The sequence below is a fragment of the Homo sapiens genome, chromosome 1 (genome assembly GCF_000001405.40).
Source record: "Homo sapiens chromosome 1, GRCh38.p14 Primary Assembly".
Classification (NCBI taxonomy): domain Eukaryota; kingdom Metazoa; phylum Chordata; class Mammalia; order Primates; family Hominidae; genus Homo; species Homo sapiens.
Window position 1 is genome coordinate 153,199,724 of NC_000001.11, and position 20,000 is coordinate 153,219,723.

Here is a 20,000-nt window from a genome sequence, read left to right on the forward strand (position 1 = left end):
TTATGTAAATAGAAGTTATTTTTATATAAATAGAAGTAAGAAATCATGCGATTTCTTAGCATGATTCTAAAAGTCAAGGGCATCTGCTAGAGATTTCATTCCAAGAGAAAGGGAAGAGCCAGCCCCACAGAGAGGGTTTTAAGAGGCATCAAGAGAAGAAATAGAGTTGCTTTCTGACCATCATGCAGGTTCTGCTTGTTCAACAAGAATTACACAGAGAGATAGAAAAAGGCATGGAAAAAAATAGAAATACTTTGCCAAAAAAGCAGCGAGGGAGATTCTAATGGAGTTAAAATTGCTGATACATAGCATGTCCCTGGGCTGATACAATATGCAGACATACAGGGCCTTCAGACACACACAGAGAGGAACCACTGAATGGCCCAGTGACTTTTTTGGCCTAAATTAAGTTACTATCTTTTATCAATAACATTGATATCAACCCTTCCTACTCAAAAGTGAAATCATCCGTTAATAGTTAACATTAAAATATCTAATCTTACTGTGAACGCCACCAGGAGCTTTGGCTGGAAGGCAGGGGAAAAAAATGCTATGGAGAAGGGGTCTGAGGAAAATATTGAGTTGGAGAAGTGGGATTATAGGGCCAACACCAGAAAATGAGAGAATGAGACAGAAATGAAGACACAGAGAGAGAGGTTCAGCAAACCAATGAAGACACCTGGCCAGCGTTGACAAAAAACGATAGCTAATATGAATAACAAACATTTTTGGGGGGTACTTCATACAGGGCATCCCCAGTCTTTACAATTCTATGAGTCTAGTGAGGCACTGTAATGGATGAGGGTGTAGGTTTTGCACTTGCAAATATGACTGGCATGTTATGAGCAATCGACATAAGTTATATATTATCTTAAGATGATGGTGACATTATATCATTTTATAGATGAAGGAATCGAGACCTGGATGGCTAAGTAAATTACTAAGAGTTGTTCAGCAAGTAAAGGATGAAAGCAGGATTTTTTTTTTTTTTTTTGAGACGGAGTCTCACTCTATTGCCCAGGCTGGAGTGCAATGGCGTGATCTCTGCTCACTGCAACCTTTGCCTCCCAGGTTCAAGCGATTCTTCTGCCTCAGCCTCCCGAGTAGCTGGGATTTCAGGCATGCGCCACCACGCCCAGCTAATTTGCTAATTTTTGTATTTTTAGTAGAGATGGGGTTTCACCATGTTGGCCAGGCTGGTCTCAAACTCCTGACCTCGTGATCCGCCCACCTCAGCCTCCCAAAGTGCTGGGATTACAGGTGTGAGCCACCGCGCCTAGCAAAAGCAGGATTTAAACCCAGAAATCTGACTTCAGGGTCCTCTTCTAACCCTAATCTAGGCAAGCCGGGCTTTGACATTTATCTCTTCTTCCAGCCTCTCGTGGAGGCCCAGCAGCCTAAGAAGCCTGTTCTGTGTTTCGTCTCAGTAGTAGTTCCTTCCAGCCAGCGAAGGAAGTCACTTAGCCACCAAACCCTAAGTGAAAGGTAAGGCTAGTAGCTGGGATACCAAATGTAACACTGCCAGGAGTGCTGACCTTTACAGAGGAAGGTTTTAAAGACTGGAAAGATAATGGGCAAACGTCCTACTGAAAGTCCAGTGACTGATATACTTTGATTCACTGAGAACTTCTTGAGCAAGAAATAGGAGAGGGAAGAAAGGAGAAAGAGAAAGATAACAATGGCTAGTAGAAATCACTACATTTTTTACATTGCTGTCACAAATGACTGCCATCTCCATATCTAGATTGGTAGCTTTGGTCCAGAGCTGAACATAGGTGAGGCTGGGTCTCCTGAGATGGGGGTGAGAGCTGCTTCTCAACAGCTTTGAGGAGAGAGAGCTGATGAACAATATTATGGAAGAAAGAGGAAATTCTTATGAAAGGAGTGAGCTGCACAAAGACTATGACTCTATCGCCAATTATTCCAGTGATAGGGGGTTAAATCCCAACCCATTCTCCTCTTTTATTTAGGTTCATTTGAGGTTTAATTGAATATGGCATTATTTATCCTTGTGAATAAACCCCATATGAGGTTTCTCCATCTTCAACTCATGATCTTCTATTCAATAAACACTTGTTAAACTGAAATGAACTGAAGGCCTCAGGTCTCCCCAGTGGCCCAAGGGCCAAAGCCATATTTCCAATAACCACCCAAGAGGGTTGACTCTAACTAAACTCTTCTCAGACTTAAACCCATATTCTTTTAGCACAAATCTGTTCCCCTGTTTCCTCAGCTCTCATTAAAAGTAATACTAACACCCCAAAACCTGGTGAAACATTGTCCCAAAGAGTTAAACAAACGAGTGACTAATACAAATTCTTGAGTTTACATGATAGTAGATTTTAAAAAAAGAACAACTTGCTGAAATGCTGAAACTCTCTCCATTTGTAAGATAACAAAATTGGCTGAAGTCATTGGAGCCAATCTGGCAGACTGGAGTCTGCACAGAAAAAGCGTGCTGATGTCACAGCCAAATTTCCACTGCATGTTTCATACTGACCCTCCCCGAAACTGCACATGTGACCCATGAGGTAGCATGAAGAGATAACTTCCCATGCCCGAGGACTTTTTCCAGCCCTCCCTTTTCCTTCCACCAGTCACCTACTAATACCAGAATCTAATCCCTAACCTTTCCCAATAAAATGACTGCCTTAAAGCCAGCACAGGGAGACAGATTCAAGCTAAACTCTTGTCTCTTTGATGGTCTAGTTGCAGTAAAAAGCTTTTCTTTTCTCAAAAACCTGGTGTCATCGTATTGCCTTCTAGTACACTAGGAAGAAGCCCTTTTGCTCTGGAGTCATCTTCAATTCTTAATTTTCTGCACAGTCAGTAAATAAGTCCCATGAATCTACCTGTCTAATGAGGTCTTTCTCATGGGCACCCAGACCCATGACTGCCTTCCTTCAGATGTGGAGATTTTCATAATTTCTTTAAAACAGTCTCATTCGACTTTTACTTCACCACCCCATCTCCCAATCCATCCTAATATTTAAATACCTTAGGCATAATCATGTCACAATTTTAATCAAAAGTCACTAGAGATTCATTCGTGATGACTGCCACGATGAACCTCCTAAACCTGAGTTCAGGCACCCTGTGTCTAAGCCTACCCACCTTTCGCACTCCAGCCTCCCATCGCCACTCCTAACACACCCCCATTCCAACCACAAAGACCCTGGTCAGGCCTTTAAAAAAGGCAAGGAAGGAATTCTGAGAGGCAAATCTTTGTGCCCTAAGGCAGGATCTGGGGCTAACCCAATTGTGTGGGGTGGTAAGAAGAGGTTTCAGAATCTCACATTAGAAAAATAAAGAAAAGAAGAATGTCAAAATGGCAGTGATCAATTCAGGGTTGCTCTCCTAGAAGGGTGGGGAAGGAGCAGGTTCAGAGGAATTAAACTTTGAGGGTGGAAGAGGAGCTGGAGACCATGTGTCAACAGTGGGCCAGCTTTTCTGCTCCCAGCAACAATGAGCCTCCCATCCTCAGAGCCCAGGACTCTTCACTGCAGCCTCATTTTACCAGCCTGAATGTTGAGGGGTCTAGGGAGGGGTGGGACAGCCAAGGGGGGTGATTCATCATGGCTCTATTCTGGTGTTCAGGGCTTGTTGTGCTGGGAGCTATGGAGTCACACAACAATTGCCCCTCGATGATGCTGCAATGACCTCATAAGTGGAGGTCATTTCCCCTGCCCCCACCCCCAGCTTCCTCAGATCTGGGCAGAGGAACCAAAGGGAAAAGCCACCTTCCCAGGCACAGCCATAACATCCACCTCACTCAACTGCTTGTCAAGTTCACCACCAACACAGAGGGGTAAGTTGCATTTGGACAGGTGGAAGTGGCCACTCTTTGGCCTCTTCTACCCTGGGAGTGACCTGAAGTACCCCACGCACTGAGCAGGGTTGGGAAAGTCATGTTTGAATGAAAGTTTCCTGTTATTTTCAGTGGTAAGAACTGGTGTGTGCTTCACCTTGGAATAGAGTCTCAACAATTTTAGAGTTCAACTTAATAATATGCCTCCCCAGAGAGCTATACTGATTTTAAAACAAAATTTAAAATGTTATTTTTATATTGTTAAAAGAAATCAAAGAAATATAACCAATTAGATCCAACTTGAAGTATTGTGAGGGACTGAAAATCCCTGTCCATATCTAGGAGTTAAACTGTCCGTGCAGAAATGCCTAGCTCAGGGCAAAACTCAACAGGAGAGAAAAGGAATTCCCTTCTGAAAATCACATTTTGTGGCTCTATCATTCAGATTTTCAGAGAAATTGGAATTTCGTGGTTCATCTCCTGATTTCTTCCCTTACCCTATTATTTATCAGAACCTGGATGGAGACAAAGGAGTGGGCAGTTCTAGAGTAGCCCATGGGAACCCACTCATGGCAGGGATTAAATTACTTTCCCTCCCATGGCCTCTAGTAAAGAAAGCAATTCTCAAGGTTCAGGGAACTTAGGTGGGACACAGGATTGAAAGCAGTGTCCTAGGCCCCCAAGTCTGCTAGTGTACCTCCCATCTATCTTCAGAGGAACAGGAAGTGGCCTTAGAGGAGCGAAACTTCTATTGTGCCATGAATGCCTTGAGCAATCTGGTCAAACTTAGGGACTCCTTGGAATCATGTTTCTAAATGAATTAAATACAACATATGGAGTTACAGAGACACCAACTCTACTGAAATACAGTTTCAGTGGGGTGGGGGAGGTGGGGGGTCCAAAACCATAGGTTAAGAACTCCTACTAGAGTCTATAGCATGGAAGCAAGAATAAGTGAAAAGGAAGCAGAGTTAAGGGTGGAGAGATTAAGAAATGCTATCTCAAACTCATACAAGGATGAGGGCGGCCCTAAATGAGAAGATGATCTAGAGCCTGAATGCATCTCAGGGAAGACTTTCTTAAGTACAAGGATAAGCTGTAAGAAGCCTGTAGGTATCCTCTCCCACCTACAATGCATCTCATATTTCTTTGCAGGGCTCAGATAATCAAGAAACAATGTCGAGTGATGATAAAAGTAAATCAAATGACCCCAAGACTGAGCCCAAGAACTGCGATCCCAAGTGTGAACAAAAGTGTGAGTCCAAATGCCAGCCCAGCTGTTTAAAGAAGCTGCTGCAACGCTGTTTCGAAAAGTGCCCATGGGAAAAGTGTCCAGCACCACCCAAGTGCCTGCCCTGCCCCTCGCAGTCTCCTTCATCCTGCCCTCCCCAGCCCTGCACCAAGCCCTGTCCTCCTAAATGCCCTTCATCCTGCCCACATGCTTGCCCACCTCCCTGCCCTCCCCCAGAGTGAGGCACTGTGGGCACTACCCAACCCCACCACCACTGCCACCTCCACCATGTACAACGCTGTGGGGCTGGAGACTGAAACCATGAACTGACAAGTAAACGTGTTCCTCTGCTGTGCAAGACTTCTCCTGGTGTTTCTGGTGGGTTTTGATTTGTTTTGTTTGTTGTTTTACAGCACTAAACCACCAACAAGCAATCCCTGAGAAGTGAGGCTAGAACCCTGCACTCTCAACAACCTTTGAGAACTGACTTTCCCTCTGACCCCACCTGCTGCTTAGAGGCAGGTGCCCACTTCTGAAGGGTGTACCCAGGTAATGCCAGGCTGTGTTAGAGCAAAGCCTGAGAGATCCATAAATATGGTTGCAGCTGTGAAAGCGTCTAACGCCAGGAAGCAGGAAAGAGATGGTATGAGGGAGAAAGAGGAGTAGAATATTGGTGAAAGGTCCAGGAAGGCTCAGGAAAAGGCATTGTACTACTTTTCTGTTAGTCCTGTTGCATAATGCTTATGCAGAAGGGCTCTCAGTACAGGCTGCATGGGTTTAATGCAACTCTATCTCTGCTCCCTAACACCTTGTAACCTTAGGCAAGTTGCTTAACTTCTTTGTGTCTCAGTTTTCCTCTCTTTGCAAAAGGAATGATGATGCTAACAGTACTGCTGTTATGAAGTTGTTGTGAGGCTAAAGAATTAACAGACGCCAGGCCAGGCACAGTGGCTCATGCCTGTAATCCTAGCACTTTGGGAGGCCGAGGCAGGTGGATCGCCTGAGGTCAGGAGTTCGAGACCAACCTGGCCAACATGGCAAAACCCCGTCTCTACTAAAAATACAAATATTAGCTGGGCGTGGCACACGCCTGTAATCCCAGCTACTCGGGAGGCTGAAGAAGGAGAATCACTTGAACCCAGGAGATGGAGGTTGCAGTGAGCCGAGATCGCACCACTGCACTCCAGCCTGCATGAGAGGAGCGAGACTCCATCTCAAAAAAAAAAAAAAAAAAAAAAAGAGTTAACAAATGCCAAGTGCCAGGTTTACAGGGACATAGTGAGTTGGTGAAGGAGCACCCCACACCCACCGCAGTGTAACACTCATCACACCTGAACTTCATTGCTTTGTGTAATTCTTCTTAGCCTGTAAATCTCCTGACCACAGGAGTCAGGCTTTGACATCTGTAAGCATACAGTTAGACATTCTTTTAAAAATATTCAAAAAGGAGTTACAGATTATACCACTATCTGTTACCTGGCTCTAATACTGAACTATAGTTACATAACATGTCACTAGTGGAAGAATCCCAGTGAAGGGTACATGAAACCTCTATTTTTGCAACACTCTGTGAATCTATAAAATTTCAAAATAAAAACTTAAGTACAAAAAACTAGATATTGTACATATCTGGGACCTCAATTAGGAATGAATAGGGAAAGCCTTCATAGCTGATGTGTTAGTGGAGATTATTTACAAGTAGTTAGAGAAAGTCCGTGTCAAACTAGCTTAATTCACAAAACAGAATTTATCAGCTCATGCCGAGAAGGGTTTGGGAACAGGGCATAGGATTAAAGGGAGAACTGTAGGAATCAAGACTTCAAGGCCTGGGATCAGGGACCCACTCACCATCTCAGCCACTCTCATCTCGCCAGCCTCTACAATGCCTCAGAATATGTCCCATCCTCTCCTAGTGCCCCCCACCCCGCCATTCAGTAAGGTCCTGGGCCAGTTGCATACCCAGCTTGTTGACAGGTTGGGCACAAGGATATTCCTATTTTCACCAGGAGAGGAACCTGATTGCCTAGAAGGTCACGAGCATGCCCCGTGGCCAAGCAGATGACAGAGCTTTGACGCACAGACAAACCAGTTGTGAATTGTTTCGGTGCACTGCACATAAGCAGCGATACAGTGAACAGCATTTAAGGATTCCCTGCTATCATCGTAATAGATAACTGAAGAGCCAAATCTGGGATGGCTCCCTATGGAACCATTACACAAAACTAGCTCTCATCCTTCTGAGCCTGAAGGATGGTTCAGACAGCGAAGGGTTTGGCAAGTATAGAGAGTCCAAAATGTGTCAAAGAAAAAATAACTGGGACCCCACCAGCCTGAGTCTGTACAGTCAGCTGGTGACAGAGCAGGCTTTTAGAATACGTGAAGTAGGCGGAACATTTAAGGCACCGCCCCCTTGTTTTCCAGGTGTGACATGAGGAGACCTTGAGGTCTCAGGGTCTTCTGAGGCACTGAGGTTCCCATACTCTAGATCCCTGCAGAGAGGCACTCACTGGATGCCAGGAGCCTCTGAAAGTCTAGTTTAGAGCATTGGGGACTGTGGTAACAGGTGGAAACCCCTTCAGCTGTGGGCAACAGGTGGAAAACCCTTCTACCTCACAGGAAGTCAAAAAGGAGGAAGGACAGAAGAAAGGGAGAGAGAGAGAGAGATAATAGAACAATAACATGGCGTCTTCATCCATGGTCAACAGACCATCCTCTATTAAATGGTCACTTTTAAATAATAAATCCTGAACCCAGTGCTAAAGAGTGTACTACAGTTGGTGGGAATATAAATAGACAAAAATCCTTTTAGAAAACAATTCAAGGAATGTGGGAATATGTATCATCAGAAGCATTAGATGCTTCAACTCTTTGGCCCAATGGGTCCACTTCATAGAACCTATTCAAAAAAAAAATTGCAAAATGGTGGGTAGGGGAGCTATATAAATAAAGGTGATTATCACAGCATAACTTAGAAACAATTTAAATATCTAACAAGGTTTGATTAAGTAAACTTGAACCTATTATATGATGAAACATTGTTTTAAGACATTAAATTTAATAATACATTAATAAATTCATTACATTAAATTTAATAATTTTAAAACATTAAAATAAATTTTAATTTATTTAATTTTAATGTATTAACCTATTCAATGTATTAAATTAATTTAATACATTAAAATGAATTAAAGAAAGTAAGGCCTCAATTGAAAATATAACGTAAAGCCATTATCTTTAACCAAAACCTTCCTTGATAATAATGGTAATAATAATAACAAAAGGAAATGTGTAGATATTCTCATTATTTTAAGACAATGGGGATATAGGTAACTAGTAGTTTATTTCTATTTTAATCTGGATTTTCACATGTTTTTGTTTCATGATGGGTTAAAAAAGAAGTAATCATGAAATAATCAACAATTTATGAAATAATCATGACTACTTCAGAGACCCCCAAAGTCCTTTATTTTACTCAATGTACAAACACAGGGAAGGAAGAATGTCTTAGGAAGTATGCACCACATCGAAGGCACCTCGCCGTGGATGCCTTCCCTCCAGGGGCAGGATCTCAGTCCCAGGCCAGGCAGTACGCGTCAGGGGGCTGTGCCCTCCCAGGTGGTTCTGCAAACTCTGGGCACAGCCTGAAAGGAGGCAGCTCTGGGAACATGAAACCATTCATTTCCAATTTAGGTCTTGTTTCTCCCATGTAAACGGAACCAAATATAGACATCTCTTCTTTTTTTTTTTTTTTTTTTTTTTTTTTTGAGATGGAGTCTTGCTCTGTCGCCCAGGCTGGAGTGCAGTGGCGCGACCTCGGCTCACTGCAAGCTCCGCCTCCCGGGTTCACGCCATTCTCCTGCCTCAGCCTCCAGAGTAGCTGGGACTACAGGTGCCCACCACCACACCTGGCTAATTTTTTGTATTTTTAGTAGAGACGGGGTTTCACCATGTTAGCCAGGATGGTCTCGATCTCCTGACCTCGTGATCCGCCCGCCTTGGCCTCCCAAAGTGCTGGGAAAGTCTCGTATAGAGCACTGGGGACTGTGGTAACAGGTGGAAACCCCTTCAGCTGTGGGTAACAGGTGGAAAACCTTTCTACCTCACAGGAAGTCAAAAAGGAGGAGGGACAGAAGAGCCACTGCGCCCGGCCAAGATAGACATCTCTTAATGGCTACTTTCCCAAAAAAAAGCTGGATCAAAGGCAATTCTGGGGAAATGGTTGGGACATGATGAGGGTGCCACCTCCCTGCAGAATCCCATAATTACTCCCAGCCCCAGCGGCAGTCACCAGGGTTCTGCCCCAAACAGTAGAGGGCTGTATAAATAAGCAACGCCTGAAGAGTGGCATCACAAGAATCTGTGCAGCACCAGGCTCGATGGCTCCCAGATAACAAGACAGGCAGGACCAAGGCCTCTCCCTTCATGACAAAGCAGTTCTGAGGATCCATTAAGATGGTCACAAAAGGAGCCTCCACCACAGACCCCTTTGCCTTGTGCTTTCTTGAGAATCAGGCAGAGTACAGCTAGCCTTCTAAAAGGGCTTCTAAGCCCTCCCAAATCAGGCAACTGGCTGTGAGGTGGGCTGGCGCTGTGAGGGCTGGGCACAGAACCTCGGGGTTGTCTGGCTTTGAAGCTGAAAGGAACCTTAGAGATCTTTTTCCTGCATCCTCCACTCCATGCATGAATGCCAACTGGGGAGAGGGGAGGAAGTAACCAGTTACCAAACGTCCTATTTTTCCTGTCCTGTTCCCACAGGACCAAGATTGCAGCTCAGCACACGAGCACAGGCAAATTCTAGAAGGCTTTATTAGTGATAAGTCATAACTGCTTCCATGTCACAGCGGTTGATGCTCAGCAAAGAGATCAGTAAAAACACTCAGCCGTTTGCCAAACACATAAAGATTTTAAAATACAAACTGATGGTAAAATGCATACCAGGATATTTTCAGCTGTACCTGTCTTCCAAGTGCAGGAAATCTCATATGTCTCATCTCCAGAGCTATATGCTCCCTCCCAGGCTCAAAGGAAACTCTTCTCAGACTAAGGAGTCATGGCTTTTTCCCAGAAATGTGCTCATCATCTCTCACCTACACCATTCAACCCTCCTAACTGGCTTTCGAAGTTCACCTTCCTCCAGTTCTTACTCCAGTGGAAGCCAGCCAAGGCAGTCTTGCTAAAATTCAAATTTATACATGATGTCCTTGCTTAAAATCCTTGAGTCTCCCCTTTGCCTAGAGGGCAGCTCAAATAACATTCTGTCATGCAAAAGCCTTCAGAATCAAGCCCCTGACTCCTTCTCTAGCCATAAGGCCATTTCTCCATCTCCTTCTAGAACTTTACAGCCCAGTAACAGGTAACTGCTGGCATTTCCTGGCACACAACACAGAGTCTCTGGCCTTTGTGACTTTACACCCCCTTCTCTATCATTTGCTCTGCCTCCACTGAATCTTCCTCTGAATGATCCTCCTGGGCAAATCCTCATCCTTTAAGTCAACTCAGGGGTCACCTGCTCCAAAAATCTTCCCCACATCCCACCCCCAAACTGGTTAGATGCCCCACTCTGTGGTCTCAGAGCTTCCATGCCTTCCTCCCCTTATCACTTCACATTCTGGCCACGTGTTCGTAACCTGACTCTCCCACCAGCCTGCCCTTTGAGAAGGGGCAGCCGGGCATGCATCGCTGACATGCAGTAATAACCAATGATTGGATGCTCAGAGGCTGCAGAGCCACTTTCCCAAACAAGAGAGGATTGCTCTGGACTGAGCCCCTGTCCACTGTGCTCCTTAATCTCGTGGCATGGAGTTATCCCCAGAATGCGACAGCGGGGAGAGGGGAAGGGGACTCAGCATGAATGGCCTGGGGCTGAAAGGCAGCCCTGGCCCTTGTTGCAGTCTTGTCCTTGGCCACTTTCCCCTTCAGCCACAAGATACAGATCCTGCCAGCCCTCCTAATGCCTTGCCAGGAAGATGCAGTCTACCTCCATGTGGGTCCCTCACCTCGGGCAGCAGCAAGGAAAGGGAAAGGGCTTGGCATCCTACAGACATGGGCTCCAAGCAAGCACTGCACCAGCCAGCTGTGGAGCCGGGCAAAATGCTTCGCCTCAGTGGGAGAAGGGAGCTCTTCACCTGAGGAATGAGAAGAAAAGTCTCACCAAGGGGCAAGGTGGGGTGATGAAGTCAGATAACTTATATCAAGCCCCTAGTGTGGGCAACTGAACTTAGGAAGCCAAGATGCCAACAGTACTCTAGTATCTATGTACACACTCGGAGTCACAACTCATCACCTACTGCAGCAAAAGCTTCCTGCTATCTGTTGTGAGAAGCAGTGCATTTGAGGGAGAAACAGGGAGTTCCACAAAAGGATGACAAATATCTCTGAAGGCAAGTAGAGTTAGGGGCCACCTCACCACCCCATTCCCAGGTTGGGCCCACAGTAGGAGCCAGAAGGAGATGCTCATATTGCCGAATATCAGAGCTGAACGTGGCATTTAAAATATCCTCAGTGTCTACATGAGGAAGCGAAGGTCCAGAGAGGGGAACAACCAAAGTCACAGCGTGTCGGTTGTAGAAAGCATCCAGGATTTCTAATCCTGATTTAGGCCAAGGTTCGCCAGAAATCAAACTCAAAAGGGAAAAAGTTGAAGATCTACAACAAATTTAAGTAACTGGGGAACATCCTTCCTCCCCACCATCTGTGTTGGTGATCTTTGACCTGAAGTCCCTGAACACCCTATAGATGACGGCATGTACATGTGAGTATTTCCTGTGATCCCAAACTGTGAACAGCCACTGGCTGGTCTGTGTCTTTGTTGTCTTCCCAAAGCTTATAAGGAATCCCCAATACACTGGTCTGCTAAGTGTTTTTGTTTTTGTTTTTTAATTATTATACTTTAAGTTTTAGGGTACATGTGCACATTGTGCAGGTTAGTTACATATGTATACATGTGCCATGCTGGTGCGCTGCACCCACTAACTCGTCATCTAGCATTAGGTATATCTCCCGATGCTATCCCTCCCCCCTCCCCCCACCCCACAACAGTCCCCAGAGTGTGATATTCCCCTTCCTGTGTCCATGTGATCTCATTGTTCAATTCCCACCTATGAGTGAGAATATGCGGTGTTTGGTTTTTTGTTCTTGCGATAGTTTACTGAGAATGATGATTTCCAATTTCATCCATGTCCCTACAAAGGACATGAACTCATCATTTTTTATGGCTGCATAGCATTCCATGGTGTATATGTGCCACATTTTCTTAATCCAGTCTATCATTGTTGGACATTTGGGTTGGTTCCATTACTGGGTATATACCCAAAGGACTATAAATCATGCTGCTATAAAGACACATGCACACGTATGTTTATTGCGGCATTATTGACAATAGCTAAGTGTTTTTTATGTGGACCATTGCCCAGACCAGACATGAGCTGACCACGTAATCTTGAACAAGATCTTTGACACTTTTGTGCCTCAGTTTCCTCATCTAAAAAACGCAGTCAATAAATAGTTCTGTGTCTCCTGTTTAAAGCACGTGCTGGGGCTAAAACAAGGAGATAGAATCAGGTGGCCTCTCAAGTCCCGTCTGGCCCTGAGGGCTTGTGATTTACAGCTCTTTCCTGAATTCACACCTCTGATTCAGACCCCCTGTGTGGGTGACACAGGAGGAAAGGAAGGGAGAGGAGTGGTGGACTTCCTCCCAGGAATTCGCAAGCTGCCCAGGGGCACCCGCTCTGCAGGAAACCAAATTCTGCACCATTCAGCTCTATCAGAGACATTGCCCTGTAATATGCAGATGAATGGGTCAGAGGAGTCTGAGGACTTTTAAGATCTGAACAGAGGAGATAGTTATTTGATGGGAATGGGAGAAAAAAAAACTGTCTTGCACACACCTGAGACTCTTCTGCTGATCCTGTCTAATTATGCCCTGGCTCCCAATAATGACAGCTCCAAAAGTCTAAAATCTTAAATCTCAGATGTCATTAAATCAGATTAACTCCAATCTTGCTGGAGGGCTGGGGATGATCACAGAAACAACTTAGTCACCTTATCTTAAGATTTGGGGTGAGACAATTTTTCCAAAGCTTTCTAATCCACAACCCCAGATACTGGGCCACCAAGATTGATTTTTGAGGACTCAGGCCCCAAATACTCCCACTCCCCACCTAGGAAAAGACAGGTCACCTAAGGTCAATCAGCCACTGGGTGAGCCACTGCCGCATGCAGAAGACAGAAGACTGGGTCTTCCTATGGGTACATTACAACCTGACCAAGGAAAAAGTGCCCACACACGTGTCCACACACTACAAAGTTACACAGTTACCCAGGCTACCCATTCGTGATCACATTTACAGTATCACAGAATGTCAGAGATGTGATGGACCTGACTGAAAGTCTAACTTTCCTATTTTAAAGATGATGAGGCCAGGCCACTTACTGAGCTGAGGAAGACTGTGGTAGGAGGAGTTTTTGAGGCAAGATCAGGAGTTTGGCTTTGGGCATGTATTAGATGTTCTATGACACACACACGTGGAGAGATAAATACATGGCAGAATTTGAACCTGTTTTAAAGAAAAATGTGCAGTGTCTCACGCCTGTAATCCCAGCACTTTGGGAGGCCAAGGGGGTGGATCACAAGATCAAGAGATCGAGACCAGCCTGAACAACATGGTGAAACACCGTCTCTACTAAAAACACAAAAATTACCTGGGTGTGGTGGCATGTGCCTGTAGTCTCAGCTACTTGGGAGGCTAAGGCAGGAGAATCGCTTGAACCTGGGAGGCAGAGGTTGCACTGCCCCGAGATCACGTGCCACTGCACACCAGCCTGGCCGACAGAGCAAGACTCCATCTCAAAAAAAAAAAAAAAAATTCAAGTCAAAGACCAAGTATTGGAGGGACAGAGCAAAGGACATAGAACAAGAAGAACCAGGGAAATCAAGGAAGGCTTCATGGAGGAGGTGAGTCCTGAACTGATTCAGATTGCACTAATATTCATAAGTAGCTTGATGGCCCTAAGTTTTGGAGCATACATTGTCTAATTTATTCCTCACAAGAAATCTGTGAAATAGTATTTTCCTTTCTCAACAAGAGGAAATTGAGATTATGAGAGGTTAAATCACTTATCCAATATTGCATATACTCTATGTGATAGTCAACCCCAGATGAATGGAATCCTGAGTTCTTTCTCCATATATCTCAGTCGCTCTTTTTTGTTGTTGTTTGTTTTGTTTTGCTTTGTTTTTTGAGATGGAGTCTCACTCTTTTTGCCCAGGCTGGAGTGCAATGGCACAACCTCAGCTCCCTGCAACCTCCACCTGCTGGGTTCAAGCGATTCTCCTGCCTCAGCCTCCCCATTAGCTAGGATTACAGGAGCCCGCCACCACGCCCGTCTAATTTTGTATTTTTAGTAGAGACGGGGTTTCACCATGTTGGCCAGGCTGGTCTCAAACTCCTGACCTCAAGTGATCCACCTGCCTCAGCCTCCCAAAGTGCTGGGATTATACGCGTGAGCCACCACGCCCAGCTCAGTGCCTCTTTATCAAAAGCTAGCCTTTGATTGAGGATGCTGACATGACAAGTAGGAATATATTTAAATGAGGGAATGGTAAATGAGATTTTATTCTTCATCTGAGGCTCCCTTCCTCAAGAGCTCCCAAGAGCCTCCAGCACTAGGAAGGTTATTAGGTTTCTACTGCTTCTGTGACAAGTTACCACAAATTTAGTGGCTTAAAACAACAAAAGTGAATCCTATGACAGTTCTGGAGCTCAGAGGCTGACAGAAGTCTCACCAGACTGAAATAGAGTGCCTGCAAAGCTGCACGTCTTTCCGGAGGTCCTACTGGAGAATCTGTTTCCAGACTGTAGAAGCCGCCCTCATTTCCGGCTCGTGGACTCCTTCCATATTCAAAATCAGCAATGGCCAGTTAAGTCTTTCTCAAATCACATCACTCTGACAGACTCTTCTTGCTTTTAAGAGCCGTACACTTATGTTGGCCCCACCTGGATAATCAAGGATAATCTCCCTATTTTAAAGTAGTCTGATTAGCAACTTTGATTTTATTCACTACTTTCAGTCTCTCTTGCCAAGTAACCTAACGTGTTTACAAATTCTAGCGATTAGGTGGCGAACATATCTAGGAGGCCATTATTCTGCCTACCACAGAAGGACTTTGGGGTCAATTTCAAGATTGTTCCACTGTCATGAATCAACTTGATGGCAGGCAGGGCATCCAGTGAGAGGAGTCAAACTCTGGGCTCTACCTAACTGGGCTCACCTCCCCTCCATGAGAACACGATCTAGTCTCTTGTTCTGCACATTTCTATTTAGTCTCCTTGTCCTGGGGCTTAACCAAAGTCACAGGCATACATGACATGAGCAAGGTCATCTCATGCATCCTGTCACAGGAAACTTCCAGAAATCCCAGCTAAGAAGGTCTCTTCCCGGATTCTCTTGCTCATTCCTTTCCTAAGCTGGCCTCCATCTATCCTTTCATTTCACTTGTATCTCTGTACTTCAACAGCCTCCCAACAAGGATTCTTTCCTAGAGGCCACCTGAAATGCCCTTGTCCACCGTCCTTGCCTGGGTAACTCATACTGTCCGGTAAGACAAAGCACAGACATCCCCTCCCCCAGGAGCCTTCCATGACCTTCCACCCAAAACCAAGGAAGAGGCCTTCTTCTGGAGCACAGGGGCTTACCTCTGGCCATATTCTCCATGGAACTGTGAGTCATTTTGGAAGGGAAATGCATCGACATCACATAGGGGCCATGAGTGACTGAAAGAACATATTATTAAAATCTGTGATGAATTCCTTGCTTTCTAGGACACAGGAGAGTTGCTTTGTCTCTTCAACAGCATTCTAAGAAAAGATGAAAAATACAAAGAGGAAGAGAATTGAAAGGAGGAGATGAAAAAGGAGGAGAAAAAGAAGGATGAGTCTCCCCACCCTACACCTACTCTCCCAGATGCCCCAAATGACTTTTTCTCTTCAGATATACACCTGGGTATTCCAAGTCCTTCCACTCTCAGGCCTCTGTCTACTGCCAGGACCTCAATGGGGCTCATGGTGATGTCACATTAACCTCTGAGAACCAGTCTCAAAGGTCAAAAATGCTTCCTGATCTCCCCAGCTTACCTTTTAAAAACTTTTCAGGTATCAAGCATCCAAAACCTATATAAACATTTGAGACATTTTTGATTTTAGCCAAATATTCTTCTTAGGAAATGACTTAAACCTACCCCTTCAAGTTAAGAGATTGAACATAACTTTTTTTTATACTTTAAGTTTTAGGGTACATGTGCACAACGTGCAGGTTAGTTACATATGTATACATGTGCCATGTTGGTGTGCTGCACCCAGTAACTCGTCATTTAACATTAGGTATATCTCCAAATGCTATCCCTCCCCTCTCCTCCCACCCCACAACAGGCCCCTGTGTGTGAGAACATAACTTTAAATTAAGGAGAAAGGAAGGGAACATCATCATATTTAAAGACCCTTGAATTTGGTCAACTTCAGCAAACACAGAACCACCATTTTAAGGAAATGGGGGCTTCTTTCAAAGTAAATCTTTTCCCATTTTCAATTAAATGAGATTTTCCTCTACTCCCAGCTCTCCCACATCCACCTTCTGTATTCCTTCATTAATACATTTACCCCATCAATAATCATTTGTCTTCCATCATCTTCCACTTACTATACCTATGGCATAGTACCTATCCTCTAGGAACTTATAACCCAGGAAAAAATAAGATCTATATATAAATATCTGGAAAGTCCTAATTTCAATAGTAAATGTCATATGAATAATATAAATAATAGATACCATGGGAGTGCATAAAGAGGTGGATTCATTTCTGGTTTAGAGTAATCAGGAAAGGCTCTCAGAGGGTGGTAGACATGAGTAAAGCTTTGCAGAATGCTTAGGATTCCCACAGGCACAGGGAGAACACACCAGGTAAAAACTAACAGCCCAAACTAGAAAGTAGAGGTAGAGAAAACTGGGTGTGTTTGCTTTGAAACTTTTCCTTTCATCCCCTGACTTTTATTGACTTGAGTTCTAAGAAAACGTTTTCCAGAAGGCAAAGAGACAAGTTAACTTTGTTCCAGCCTGTTCTCCTGGTCACTATGAAAACTCTGTGAGTAACTCCACTTTCATAAGGGTGTCATAAATCAAGGTTGAGAAGATGAAGATTGTCTGCCTTCTCCTTCCTCTCTCTTCCCCTTCACCCCACTTCACAACCCAAGAGTAACAAATGAACCGCAATTTCCCTCAAGACCATCACGCAGGAAAATCACTCTCTTCAGCAGGCTGAAAGCCCTTTGTTCGCTTGGAACCACAGGACGAGCCTTCATCCTTGCATCTGAAGGGTGACTTTCTAGGCTTGATGAAGAAGTGTCTGCAACAGGCCATACAAGCCCTTGACCCAGAGAGGCCCCAGGCCTTAGGCATAAAATCTTCCCATTGGTGAAGATGAGATGAGCAAGGTGGATCTTATCTCTCACCACATCCTGTACCAGTTTGGGCAGACAAGGAATCCTGGTTGAACAGACTGAGATAACACTTTATGAACATTCTTTTCCTGCTGCCTCTGATGAGAGAGATCTGAGAGAAGCCCCTCCCTGCTGAGGTCTGGTGAGGACCCACAGGCCAAAATGCAGTCTGATTAACAGGCATCCCAAGCAGTGACTCAAACCATCGGCAATTTCAGAGGAAGCTTGTTATGGTGACTCCACAATTAATACCACAGCCCATGTGACCAGTCAGTCCCGCGGGAGGCTGGACTAAGCAACATATAAAAGTCCCACCTTGCTGGGCTTCACAGTCCACAGCCTTTGTTGAGTCTTGTTGAAGATCAGGTAAGTGGGGCATCTGTGCCCTCTCTCTCCCTGTTACTCTGTCTTTAGGCGGCCGCTGTTCTGTTCCTCTTATGGACTGTACTTTCTACTGATTTTTTAAGTGGTTTGCCATTTCTTGGGCCTCACAAACTATCCTGTATATTCTATCCAGACTAGAATTTGCCTATCTAGTCTAGTCTCTTGCACCTGATTTTCAAAAGGATTCGTAGACTAGAAGAGAAGGGAAAAAAACCTGTGGTAAGACTGGGGTTTGGAGCTATGGATGTCTAGACAGAGGCCAGGAGAACACTCCCACTTTGGAGACAGGTGCCACAGGGAGCTGCAGCCAGGATAGAAAAGAGAAAGAGATAAAAAGCAGCCAAGAAATTAGTTCTTACTTCCACTCCTCATTCCATTCCATTAGTTCTTCCATCCACTCCTCATTCCTCTTTCTCAACCCTTCATTCCCCAGTTCCCATGCTGATATTTTTAATACAGATAATTTCGAATCTTGTGTTTTTTTCAGGCTCTGCAAATCACCCTAGGATGTCCTTCAGTGAGCAGCAGTGCAAGCAGCCATGTGTGCCCCCTCCATGCCTCCCAAAGACCCAGGAGCAGTGCCAAGCAAAGGCTGAGGAGGTGTGCCTCCCCACATGCCAGCACCCCTGCCAAGATAAGTGTCTAGTGCAGGCCCAGGAGGTATGTCTTTCTCAGTGCCAGGAATCAAGTCAAGAAAAATGCCCACAGCAAGGCCAAGAGCCATACCTACCTCCATGCCAAGACCAGTGTCCACCTCAGTGTGCAGAGCCATGCCAGGAGCTATTCCAGACAAAATGTGTGGAGGTTTGCCCACAGAAAGTCCAGGAGAAGTGCTCATCCCCTGGCAAGGGAAAGTAGCTGCTCATATGTCATCTGGGTTCAAGAAGATGGCCAGCAGATGAAACCCTGACCCCAGCCCACGCTCTGGTGACCTTCTTCTGTGGGTACCTCTGTGTGCAATGTACCTTCTTGCCTCCTGGCTTCCTTAGCATTCCAGGACTTGGTCTGTGTCTCTGAAGACAGTTCTTTCTGTATTTCATCACCCTCTGTGAATAAGCATTGTTCTCAGCAGTCTGATGGAAGGTCTCAAATGTAGGAATGGTGTGGTTGTCAGGGAAGACCACAGAAGCCTAGCACAGCTTCCTTGGTGCAAAAATTCACCCAGCTCTGGGTGTGTAACAGCCAAGGATACCTTCATTCATCTTTCAGAGTTTCAGGCTCTCAAATAAGCCTCAAAACAAACTGAATTCTGATGGACTTTCCACTTATCACCACCACCACCACCTCCACCACCACCACCACCACAGGTGTTGAGACAAAGCGGCTTGCGGTGTTTCAAAAATCAAAAATTTGGTGATTTTGTCTCTGTACACTAAAAAGAACAGCAAATTATTGAACTTTGAAATGTTGGTTGTGCTTTTTTAAAATGAACCGAAAGTATGTAAACGATTGAATCCAAACAACCAGAAGGGAAAGATAAGATGGATGTTTGGTGCCCTTGTCAATCTCTGTGCTTCATAGCTGGTCTAATGTGGGCCCTTAGTTCTCACCATGTACACTCTTTAGAGATGTGATTTGTGTCTGTGTGATGCAGGCTGGTCTGTTCTCCAGCTTCCTTGCCTTCTTCTCCCTGGTGAAGGTAAAATACATAATAAAGCTGATCCTAAGGCTGATATCTGACTTGACGTGTGCTCTCTTTTCTCCACCATCAAACCCCTCATTGTCCTTGTGACAACTGTCTTCTCCTTTGGTGGGGGAGGGGAGTAATCTGAAACAGGAATAAAACACAGACCTCACCGGTGCATAAAACAGCAGTTCTGAAAGAGGCTTCCTGAAGGTCACTGAGACCACCCCACCCACAACATATCCTAGGTTCACCCACTTGTGCACTTCACACATGAGAAAATCCAGCAAGGGGCTAGGACCTGCCCACACTCAAAACCTCAGGTCCAGGTTCTTTCTACTACAGCATCTTTCCTCTCTGATCCTTGCTTTCCAAAGGGAAAGGCTGAAATGGAAAGGAGGGGAGATGTGTGGAAGAGGGATCCCAAATCAATTCATAACACCTACAAACATAGCATCTGTG

At 45.0% G+C, this 20,000-nt stretch overlaps 3 protein-coding genes across 3 annotated transcripts in view; 2 read left to right on the forward strand and 1 right to left on the reverse strand.

The window, feature by feature from the left end:
• The window catches only part of SPRR2G (small proline rich protein 2G), a 53,697-nt gene extending 50,142 nt beyond the window's left edge, over positions 1–3,555 (reverse strand). The window contains exon 1 of the mRNA XM_017002177.2: positions 3,115–3,555. The gene's annotated coding sequence lies outside the window, so the exon portion shown is untranslated. The remainder of the gene's footprint in view (positions 1–3,114) is intronic.
• A 151-nt stretch (positions 3,556–3,706) lies between these two features.
• On the forward strand, positions 3,707–5,397 carry LELP1 (late cornified envelope like proline rich 1). Its single transcript, NM_001010857.3, has 2 exons — positions 3,707–3,808; positions 4,964–5,397. Exon 2 carries the CDS (start codon positions 4,985–4,987, stop codon positions 5,279–5,281), a length of 297 nt encoding a protein of 98 aa, NP_001010857.1. The 5' UTR covers positions 3,707–3,808; positions 4,964–4,984; the 3' UTR covers positions 5,282–5,397.
• Positions 5,398–17,860: 12,463 nt separating this feature from the next.
• On the forward strand, positions 17,861–19,587 carry PRR9 (proline rich 9). Its single transcript, NM_001195571.2, has 2 exons — positions 17,861–17,896; positions 18,402–19,587. The coding sequence occupies exon 2, from the start codon at positions 18,422–18,424 to the stop codon at positions 18,770–18,772; it is 351 nt and encodes a 116-aa protein (NP_001182500.1). The 5' UTR covers positions 17,861–17,896; positions 18,402–18,421; the 3' UTR covers positions 18,773–19,587.
• The last annotated feature ends 413 nt before the right edge of the window (positions 19,588–20,000 follow it).